Source organism: Homo sapiens, chromosome 3 (genome assembly GCF_000001405.40).
Source record: "Homo sapiens chromosome 3, GRCh38.p14 Primary Assembly".
Classification (NCBI taxonomy): Eukaryota; Metazoa; Chordata; class Mammalia; order Primates; family Hominidae; genus Homo; species Homo sapiens.
The window spans coordinates 72,561,820-72,573,448 of NC_000003.12; the positions used below are offsets into that span (position 1 = coordinate 72,561,820).

The following is an 11,629-nucleotide window of genomic DNA, read 5'->3' on the forward strand; positions in this document are numbered from 1 at the left end:
TGGATAAGACACAAAGACACAAAGGCAAAAACTATATCTATTTTGATTATGGGCACTAGTAGGTGGTCCCTAAATGATACTAATGCCATTTGTTGAATGCTTATTCCATACCTGGTGCTATGCAATTAATGCTTTTACATTAGTTGTTACTTTATCATAAACAGAATAAAGCAACCTCTGCCCCCGCCCCAAAAAGATGTGCACATTTCAATACCCAGAACCTGTGAATATGTTTTCTTACATAGCAAAGGGAATTTTGAAGATGTGATTGAGTTAAGGCTCTTTAAATGGAGAGATTATTCTGGATTATCCAGGTGAGACCAATGTAATCACAAGGCTCCTTATAACAGGGAGGCAGGAGGATCAAAGACGAAGAAAGGAGATGTGACTATGGAAACAGGATGAAGTGATGTGCTGTGAAGATGGAGGAAGGGGCCACAAGCCAAGGAATGCAGGCAGCCTTTGGAAGCTATGAAAGGCAGGGAAATGGATTCTCCTCAGAAGCCTCCAGAAGGTACCAGCCCTGCCAATACACTGATCTCATACTTCAGACCTCTAGGACTATAAGAGAATAAATTTGTGTTGTGTTAAGCCACAAAATTTGTTACAGCAGGAATAGTAAGCTAATACAGATTTAATTCCCATGAAACTTTATAAAGTACACACTACTGTCATCATTTCCATTTTACTTATGAGGAAACTGAGCCTCAGACCAGCTAAGTAACTTTCCCAGCAGTTAAGTGGCAGCACTATGTCAAAACTGGCCTCCTAAACCTTACACTCTAGAGCCTCCCACTGGGTCAGAGAAAGACCACAGGATTTGGAGTCCAGACGGGAAGCACCTCTATAAAAAAATTGAAATGAGGAGTTGGATCAGATGACTTCAAACGATCCCTTCCTGTCCTAATTTTCTGTGACTTCTAAACACTGAATCCGCATCTTTCAGTGCCAGGTTCCCAAACTTGCAAGAGGAGCAGGTAGGACTCAGAGGGGCTCAGTCACATCTGAAGAAGGAGTCAAAAGAAATCTCCAGAAATGGAGTGTGGACCATACCAAACCAGGACCTTTAAAAAAGGTAACAGGGGGCTGGGCGCGATGGCTCACGCCTGTAATCCCAGCACTTTGGGAGCCCAAGGCGGGCGGATCACGAGGTCAGGAGACCGAGACCATCCTGGCTGACACGGTGAAACCCCGTCTCTATTAAAAAATATATATATATAAAAATTAGCCGGGCGTGGTGGCGGGTGCGTGTAGTCCCAGCTACTCGGGAGGCTGAGGCAAGAGAATGGCATGAACCTGAGAGGTGGAGGTTGCAGTGAGCCAAGATCGTGCCACTGCACGCCAGCCTGGGCGACAGAGCGAGACTCCGTCTCAAAAATAAAAAAATAAAAATAAAAAATAACAGCTGTCAGAATTCTAGTAGATAGTGCCATGGCCCCCTTAAATCCACAGAATGAGCACTGTGGTGGCCTCCCCACCCTCCACCGGCCCAGCTCTGATGTGTAGTAGCTCAGGGTTTGTATGAGTTCCACTTAACTGCTGGGAAAGTTACTTAGCTGGTCTGAGGCTCAGTTTCCTCATAAGTAAAATGGAAATGATGACAGTAGTGTGTACTTTATAAAGTTTCATGGGAATTAAATCTGTATTAGTTTACTATTCCTGCTGTAATAAATTTTGTGGCTTAACACAACACAAATTTATTCTCTTGCAGTCCTAGAGGTCTGAAGTTTGAGATCAGTGTATTGGCAGGGCTGGTACCTTCTGGAGGCTTCTGGGAAGAATCCATTTCCCTGCCTTTCACAGCTTCCGGAGGAGAAGCAATTGAGCCAGCTCATCCCCAGGATGAGCTGTGATTGGCCCAAGTCCTTCATTATAATCTCATCTCCCTTGCCACAGTGATTAATAAGAATGATGTTCAGGGACTTCTGTTTGGTGATTGAAGAAAGAGAGCTCTCTCTTATTCCTGAGAGTATAGTGTGCAGATATGAGGCCTGGGACAGCTGTAGCCACTTTGTTACAATGAGGGAAGCCAGTCTGAGGATAAAGCCAGTGCACAGAGAAGGGCAGAACAGAGAAACTTACAGAGAAACTGAGCCACGTCCTTGATCAAACTATTCCTGAAGTCTAACCTCCCTCTGAACCTTAAAGTAAATAAAACCTAATAAATTCTCTTTATTGGTTCAAGACAGTTTTAGGAGCTTTGTTTTTTATGCTTTACTTTTAAAGCAAAACTATCCTAACAGACATCAACCAGTCACCTCTATAGTACCTAGTTACAGGGACAGATATAGGCAATTTTTCTCACAGTTTAGCTTCCTGGGAGAACCACTTGGCTCTTGGCCATTTCTCTCCTTACACTTCTTATCTTCCCTACAATCAACTATAGCTTCCTGTATCCTTAAGCACCTGTTTTGATTCTAGCTAGCTCATGCAGATAACTATTTTTTGACTTTATTTCAGCCTGTATTTCTTTGCTCTCTGCTCTACTACTGGCCCTCACTGTTGTCTTGAGTTTCTTTATAATGAATTCTGGTCTGTCTGATATGCCAGTCTCATCAGCCACAAATCAGTGGTCAAAAACTCTGGGCCCAGTCCTCCCTTCTCAGAGGACCAAGGAAGCCATAACCTTCCCACTACTTGAACCCTCTGGGTGATGAAATGGCCCCAGGGACAGAGGCTTCCGCTGAACCGCCCAAACTTGGATGAAGTGTCAAGCAGGCTAAAGCAGTGAAGGAAGGGTTCTCGGTCTCTGAACATCACCAAGCAGAGGCTATACTGGCCCTGACCCACGGTGCTGTAAGGGAGGCCCCTGATCAAGGGAAGAAACCAGAAACATGAAAGTAAAGAGATCTGCATTACAGTCCCAGCTCTTTCACCACAGGGCTCTGAGGCCTTGGCCCTCCTCTGGGCCTCATTTTCTTCATCTGTAAAAAAGGTTGCAGAAGTCTTTAGCCCCGGTTGATATTTGAGCAACCTCATGAGAGACCTTGAGCCAGAACCACTTAGCAAATCAGCTCGCAAATTCTAACCTACAGAAACTATGAGATCATAAATGTGTGTTTTTTGAAGCCTTTACATTTGAGGGTACAGTCGTCCCCTGGTATCTGCAGGGATTGGTTCCAGGACCCCTTCAGATACCAAAATCCATGGATGCTCAGGTTCCTGATATAAAAGGATATAGTCCCCAAAGTTATTTGGTGCTGGTAATCTGTTCAGGGATTTTGAACTTGGAATTCATGTAGGAATTTCAGGTGGCCAAAGTTTTCCAGTGAGATTATTCGTAGTTTCCATTATATTATCAAAGGAAGATGTAACACAAAATTTTTAGAAGTACAGGCCTACATTATCTTAAAGGTTCTTCTCAGCTTTGGCAATCTGTCATTCTAGATGCCTTACGACAGTGGATTCGCTATAAGGAATGCATTCAAATGCAGGCACATAAGGTGCGAATTAGGGAAGTCAGAATTGCCCCAAGCCTTCCAGTTTTATCTAAAATTCAGAATTCTATGTAAATTCCAGTTGCATCTTCCCTGTACAATAATTCTTAGGTATACTAACCTTTGAGAACCACCGAGCTAGACCGGAGGAAGACACAAAGAGAAATTCTACAAGCTCGTATTTTGGGCACTTAAACCATTCTCCTTTAAAAGAACTACCATCTAGACCCCCAAACCAAAAACTACACCGTAAAATAAGGTTTGTCGTTCCCAGGGTGTGCAAAGCACTGGTGGAACAGAGGAGAAGCAATCAATACTGCCTGGAAGGGACACAGGAAGCTGAGGAACGCTCCAGAGAAGGTGATGTCAGGGCACGGCAGGGTGTCCTGGGCAGGGGGAGAGCATGTGCAGAGACCCGCAGGCTCAGATGCCAGTGTTCACCATGCAGGGGGGACTGGGAGGCATGTAGAGAGGTGAAATGGTGGGAGATGGGGCTGGGGAGAAATTGGGACTGGATTTTCAAGGCCTTGTGAGCTGTGTTAAGGGCTTAGCGCCAGCACTGGCAGGCAGGGCAGAGGGTATACACACACAGGTGGGATGTCAAACAAAGCTCTGGGCAAACGCACCCCTGAGCTGCATGGAAGAAGAGCCTGGCTGGGTCTCAGGTAGCCTGGGAACAGCCCCCTGCATATTCTCTATATCTCAGCCCAGGAGACTGGCTGGAGGAAAATAAAGCCTTCTTGGGGGAGGCTAAGTTCACTTTGTCCAAGGGTGGCTTATTAGGTTAATAGTGTAGCCCTGCAAGAAATGAATGGAAACTGACTTTTTACACATGTATTAGTTATCTATTGCTGCAAAACAAACTACACTATCCTTGGATTCCACATCTGTGGATTTAACCAGCCATGGACCAAAAATATTCAAAAAATAACAACGAAAATAATAATACAATAAAAATAATACAAATAAAAAAGAATACAGTATAACAACTATTCATACATAACATTACATTGTATTAGGTATTATAAGTAATCTAGAGATAATTTCAAATATACAGGAAGATGTACATAGATTATAGGCAAATACTATACCCTTTTATATCAGGAACTTGAGCATCCATGGATTTTGGTATCTGAAGGGGTCCTGGAACCAATCCCTGCAGATACCAAGGGATGACTATACCCTCAAATTTAGAGGCTTCAAACAACACACATTTATGATCTCACAGTTTCTGTGGGTTAGAAATTTGGGAGCTGATTTTCTAAGTGGTTCTGGCTCAAGGTCTCTCATGAGGTTGCTCAAATATCAATAGGGCTAAATACTTCTGAAAGCTCACGTGGGGTGAGTGGGGCCTCCAAGCTGCTCACTCACATGGCTGTGGGCAGGAGGCCTCAGTTTCTCACCACCTGGGCTTCTCTGTAGGGCTGATTGAGTGTCCTCAGAACATGGCAGCTGACTTCCCTCAGAGCAGATGATCCAAGAGAGAGCCAGGAGGAGGTTGAAACCCCTTTTATGCTCTGATCTTGGATGTTACTGTCAGATCCTCCACAGTATTCATTACAAGTGAGTCTCTAAGTGCAGCCCACACTTAGTAAGTCCCTAAGTCCAGCCAACGCTTTTTAAAAATGGAGCGTCACTCTGTCGCCCAGGCTGGAGTGCAGTGGCATGATCTCGGCTCACTGCAACCTCTACCTCCTGGGTTCAAGCGATTCTTGTGCCTCAGCCTCCTGAGTAGCTGGGATTATAGGCAACCGCCACCATGCCCGCCTAATTTTTGTATTTTTAATAGAGATGGGGTTTTGCCATGTTGGTAGGTTCATCTTTTGAAGGGAAAAGTGTCAAAGAATATTGGACATATTTTTAAGCCACCATAAGCCAATCTAAAGTAATAATTTTAGGAATATTCTCAGGTGTGACAGCCCAGGCAGACACATTCCTAGGTTAATGGTTATCAGATTCATTGTACATACAAATCATCTGGGGGTGCTTGGTAAAAGGAAAGATTCCTATGCCTACCTCCAAAATATTCTATATTAGGAGCTTGGGAGTACGGCCCAGAAATTTGCCTATTTTGCTAAGTTGTCAGGGTATTCTAACACAGATGAGGTCCGGGAATCTGCATTTTGGTAAGTCCCCAAGGTTATTTGGTGCTGGTAATCTGTAAAAATACCCACCTCAGAACTGACAATAATTGCCAGTTGGTATGGCAGTTTAGAAATTCCAATACATTTGGGAATAACTAAGTGGTTAGAAGGTCAGCCAAGGACAGAGGCCACAATAAAGTAGCACATGGGCACAGCTCTCCATGAACACCCACACGGAGAGAGGGCAGCAATCACAACACGTTTTCTACTCTCCTGGACCAAGTCCCTGGGAGCTTCTCAACACAACACTCCAGGCAGCCACCTCTAACCATTCACAGTTGGCGTAGGACTTGTGACCTATTTGCAATCCTTAACCTAAGGTCACATGCCCAGGAATCCACCAGTTCTGACATGTGACAGTGCTTTAGAGTTCTGGCCAGACAGAGATTTCTTCAGCATGCACTGAGAAGGAGCTGGGCACAGCTATGATCAATTTTATAAATGAACGTGGATAATGGGGTGGAAAGCAGGGATAGGATCTTGGAGGATAGGAGGTGTTCTTGGCTAGACTCATCCCTGGGAAACTTTGGTCTGGTTCAAATGTTGAGACACTCAAGTAACAGGCTCAGGATAGAGGCCTGTACTTCCCCCTGATGAGGAACAGGGTTTAGGAGGTGGGCCAGGGGGTGGCCCTTTGTTTAGTTAGCCTTTTCTGGTTCTTCATGGAGCTTGTAGGAAGATTGCCAGGACCCTCTGTGAGTTTCCAGGCATTGTCTGGGCCCCTCTTGCTCTCTTTTTATGGGATGGTTTATGTCTGCTCCTCGGCCCTGGGAGGGAACCCGCACAAGAGTTGCTAAGCAGCTGGTGGAGCCTTTCTGTTTTAAGCCAGGACACTATTGTCTCTCTCTTTATTTCCCATAAGGAGCCGTGACCCAGGTGGTTACTGAGCTGCCGCCAAGTCTGCAGTGCTATTGGTCCAGAAAAGGGCAAAGAGCGAACAGAGCCATCAAACAGCGTGAGGAGCAGGTGAGGGGTATGAGAGCCCAGTACGAATAACTGTGGCAAAGCCTGGGCCTCACACCCTCGTGTACACATCACGCCCCTGCAAGTTCACCTCCACTGTTCAGGGTCCGATCGCCTGGAGGATGGGTGTGGCTTTTCACGCAGGGACCCGCAGGCTCAGACCTATTTCCCCAGCGGCTTCTGTGGACTGCAGAATCAGGGAAACGTTTCCCCAAGAGGCTTGACATGGCATTGTGTCGAACCCCTGGAAAACCTTACCCCCCAAACCTTCCTCCCTCTGCTGCTTGTCTCTAACTGGGCTGTTTCTAAGGCAATTGTAGCTATATAATTTTCTATTTTTTCCCCACACTTAATCATGCTCCTTGTTAAAAAAACATTAGAAAATAAAGATATGAATTAAAAAAACCACCCTACACCCAAAGATAACCACTGTTAACATTCTGAGATATTCCTTCTAGACTTTTTCTCTCTCTGCATGCGTGTGTACGTGCGCGCGTGAGTGTATTTATATATATGCGTGTATATATATAAAATCAGGCACCACTGATATTTTGGATGGGATAAATCTTTTTTGCAGGGGGCTGTTCTGTGAACTGTAGAATATTTATCAGCACCCCTGGTCTTCCCACCCACTAGATGCCAGTGGCACTCCCCACCCCCACTTGGGATAACTAAACCTATCTCTAGATATTATCAAATGTCCACAGAGGGACAAAATCACCCTCTGTTTAAAATCACTGCTTTGGGCAGGCATGGTGGCTCACTCCTGTAATCCCAGCACTTTGGGAGGCTGAGGTGGGCAGATCACTTAAGGTCAGGAGTTTGAGACCGGCCTGGCCAACATGGTGAAACCCCGTCTCTACTAAAATTACAAAAATTAGCTGGGAGTGGTGGTGAGTGCCTGTAATCCCAGCTACTCGAAAGGCTGAGGCAGGAGAATCGCTTGAACCCGGGAGGCAGAGGTTGCGGTGAGCTGAGATCACGCCACTGCACTTCAGCCTGGGCAACAGAGTGAGACCCCATCTCACTCTGTGAGATAAAAATAAAATAAATAAAAATAAAAATAAATCACTGCTTAGACACACACACACACACACACACACACACACACACACACACACTAAATGAAATCATATTGTAAATACTTTCTTGTCTTTAAAAAAATTTACCATGCCATGAACTCTTTCTGTTGCCAGCTATTAGGAATCTACACACCATTTTTTGCAATGGCCATAGAGCTCTCCGTCAGTTGGGCTCAACGTGAAGTAATGTACATCACCAGTCCCGTTACTGGACACTGTGTATGTATACCGCACAGCCTGCCTTATAAGCTGCTTTTTAAATTTAAAATATCGTGAACATCTTTCCATGTCATAGCTGTGGGATGTTGACCAAGTCATTTCACCTCTCTAAAGCTCCATTTCCTCCTTTGCGGAATAGGGGGTGTACTGTGAGAATCAATGACCAGGACAAGTGTTCTGTGCTTAGCGCAGACTCTGGCACAGGAGGCACCCGCAATAAAGGGCCACAGCTGTGTTTAATGTCCTTGTTATGGTCCCTACGTCATGATTTTTAAATGGCTTTTTATGGCCATCTCTCATATGCAGACACCATACATTATTAAATTAGGCCCTATAGTTGGACTTTTAGGTGGTTCCCAAATTTCCACTATCATAAATCACTCTACCATTAATACAATTATGCATCATTTCCACTGATGTCTGGGGAAATTAGTAAAAGTGAATAAGCCGATCCACCTATCCTAACCTGGGACTTACGAAACAAAAGACAAATTATTTTCTTCATAACCCAGTTTTAGACAAATTGTATCCCCTTCTTCCTGTTAAGCTCTGCCCCCAGCGCCTCCAGCCCTGCTTGTTTATCTGGTCCTGAGTCACGTGCTAACCAGCACCGTAGGGCATGGTTCCTAGGCTAAGCCCAGGTTGGTCTTTTACTGCTCTTACGCCAAGCCCAAGTCCCCTTCTTTCTGCCTTGAGACCACCCAGCATTGTATTCAAGTGCCTGCAGGATTCCTCTTCTATTTGGTTTTTAAGTTACAGGTATACAATATGTGATGTATATAATGCATGTGTACAGTTTAAAGAGTGATAATAAAATGAATATCCCTGGACAAGCCTGGTGGCACACACCTGTAATCCCAGCACTTTGGGAGGCCGAGGTGGGAGGACTACTTCAGCCCAGGAGTTCAAGACCAGCCTGGGCGATATAGTGAGACCCCCATCTCCTCACAAAATAAAATTTTAAAAAATTAGCCAGGGGTGATGGCACATGCCTGTGGTCCCAGCTACGGGAGGTCAATATGGGAGGATTGCTTGAGCCTGGGAGGTTGAGGCTGCAGTGAGCCATAATTGTGCCACTGCATTCCAGCCTGGATAACACAGCAAGACGCTGTCTCAAAAAAAAAAAAAAAAAAAAAAAAGAATATCCCTGTGTCTACCACCCAGGCCAAAAAATAAAAGTCAATACCCAAAAGTGCCTAACAGCGTTGTGTGTCTCTCCTGCTTCCTGGGTGTCTGGGGTAAAAGGGGAGGGTCCACTGGGAACACCCCAGCTGACCCCTTACTGGCTCTGTGGCCTTGGGCACATTAGTTAACTCTGGGAGCTGATACAGGAGTATCTTCTCTTTGAAATGGAAGATTGACCCACAGATTAAATGAGATGCTTCTTTTGGTAAACCCTGAGCCCAGAGCTTGGCACCAAGGAGGTGCCCAAAGCACAGGAGCTAATTGTTTTTACTATGGAGGGGAGTTTCTGGACAGGGAATTCAAGAACATGGTTGTCGCCTGGCACTGCCAGCCCCTTAGCTCTGTGAGCCTAGGCAAGGCAAGCCCTGGGCCTCAGTTTTCTCAGGTGGGAAATGAAGGGGCTGGACTCACTAGGAAAGCTCTAACTTCCTTTCCAGCTGTGACCTGTTGAACTTCTACTAATCATTAAGCCAAGGAAAATGGGTTACGATGAAGCAAGAACTTGACAGAGGGTCACTGTTTACAGTGCCTTTAGCTGGCTCCTAGAAACAGTGTGACTGGCCCAAAAGAACATGGTCAGAAGGTAATAATCGGGTTAATAATGATAATACTTCCAACACTTTTTCTGGGGGATGCTGTACTAAGAGCTGCATACATATCCTTTTATTTAACTCTGAAGTTAAACAAATCTATCTGATAGATTGTATTTTTATGCCTATTTTACGGAAGTGGAAATGGGCTCAGAGAGGCTCTATGGCTTCTCCAAGGTCATGGAGCCCTGGCCTTTTCCATCTGTAAGCCTGTGCTTAAACCAGCACTGCTCAGACCTTAACGAGCACCTGCGTCACACGGGGATCTTGTGGAAATGCAGATTCCGATGCCGCAAGTCTGGGGTGGGGCCCGAGATCCTACATTACTAACAAATTCCCGGATGATGCTGAGGCTGGTGCTCTTCTCATTACCCTTTGAGTACTGAGACTTGGCCACTGTTGCACTCTCCGGGAGCCAAGCTGAGCAGGGACGCAGGGTCTCAGACTCTTTGGTTTCAGTCAACATCAACTTCCCGGCTATTTTTATCACATCCCAGGAAGAGAAACTGTCGGCATCACATACCAAACAAGACTGCTTCTGGGTCAGACATACCAGAAAGGAAACGTTTCCTGTTGACAATAAGGTCCTAGTTTCTCCCTCTGGCAATGTTTATTTTTCCAGGCATTTGTTGAAACCTTCATATCTTGTCCTACTGAGGACGGTGATTCAAGACACAAACTCACAGTTGATTTCAGCCACACACCTTCATGCTAGCATTGGGCATTCAACCTATCCCAGGTGCCCTGTCAGATCCCAAACACGGCATAACATTTATTTTGGCTGCCACTAAGGGTCTGTGCTTTATCCTGTTAGTCGTGCCCATCAAGTCTGGAAGGGAATTTATACATAGGCTACTCCCAGAAAGGAAGCCTTTTACTTGTAGAGTCCAGAGGGAGACACAAAACATTTCTTTTTCCCCACAAGTCATCATTTAGTCCATAAAAATGGGCATTTGGGAGCCCCTCCTGGCTCTGGTCTCCCTGGATCCCCTTCTCCTGTCTCTCCTCTGTCCCCAGTTCTGCTGAGGTCCTGGCATCATTTTTCTGTCTCTCTGCTCTCCCCCTCCCAGGGTCGTGGCTCCGTGCTGAAATAGCCTGTCCTCCAGGGTCTTCAGAGGGGAACATCCAGACAGGACAAACACGTGTTTCTCTTCCAGAACTGTGATGCGTTATTCTGCCGACAGTGCCTCAGTTTCCTCTTTGGGGAACTGCATCCGTGTCGAAAAGGACCAAGGCGGAGGGATGGGCAATCTCAACTTCTGATTCTGCTGATACCGCTTCTGCAATGTTCCATGCGGTGTGAGGCTGAAGGGGGCCATCAAGGGATGGGAGCGGGGTGCAGCTTGCCCTGAGTAACAGGGAAGGGGAGTGGCCTCACGTCAAAGCAGCCCGAACAGAAGAGGGCAGTTACAGCACGCGCGAGAATGCCTGTGTGATGCCGTAGAAATGCCTCCCAGACCTGACATTGTGCTGCAAGGTGACAGTGAATATGTGACAACTGCAGATGCATTCGTAAGAACTGCAGATCCTTTTGTAGTTCTTGAGTGTGATGATCGGGTGCTCACACTCATGTGTGAGATATGCCACCCTCGAACCTCATTTTGAAGTCAGCACGTTACCTGTCTGACATGAAAACAAACCAAAAAACTGTAGACGCTGTTCTCTTGAGGAAATAATGAGTTATAATTGTTGCTGACCAGTTTGGCATGGGGCTAAGTCTTTCCACCTTAATTTCTTCCCGCGTGCCGCAAGACCTTCAAGCCTTTGGTCAATATTCGCTACTTCAAAGTCCAGAAAGGCCTTCTGTGAATCCAGGCTGCACGCAAATACCCACAGAGCCAGCGTCACAGACTTGTGACCTCTGAAGTCACACGCGGCCCCACTCTCAGAAGAGCCCTGCGCTTGTCACAGTGCTCTGCCCACACCCTCTGGAAATTCACAATACATTTTGAACACAGGATCTACATTTTCATTTTGTACCGAGCCTGGCAAATTACGTAGCCAGTCCT

The 11,629-nt window shown here is 45.8% G+C and overlaps 1 non-coding gene across 1 annotated transcript; it reads left to right on the plus strand.

Annotated features, from left to right (window-relative positions):
* Nucleotides 1-11,145: 11,145 nt before the first annotated feature.
* On the plus strand, nt 11,146-11,249 carry LOC124905404 (small nucleolar RNA U13). The gene has a single exon (XR_007096322.1). It is a non-coding gene; the product is annotated as a small nucleolar RNA U13 (small nucleolar RNA).
* Nucleotides 11,250-11,629: the final 380 nt, after the last annotated feature.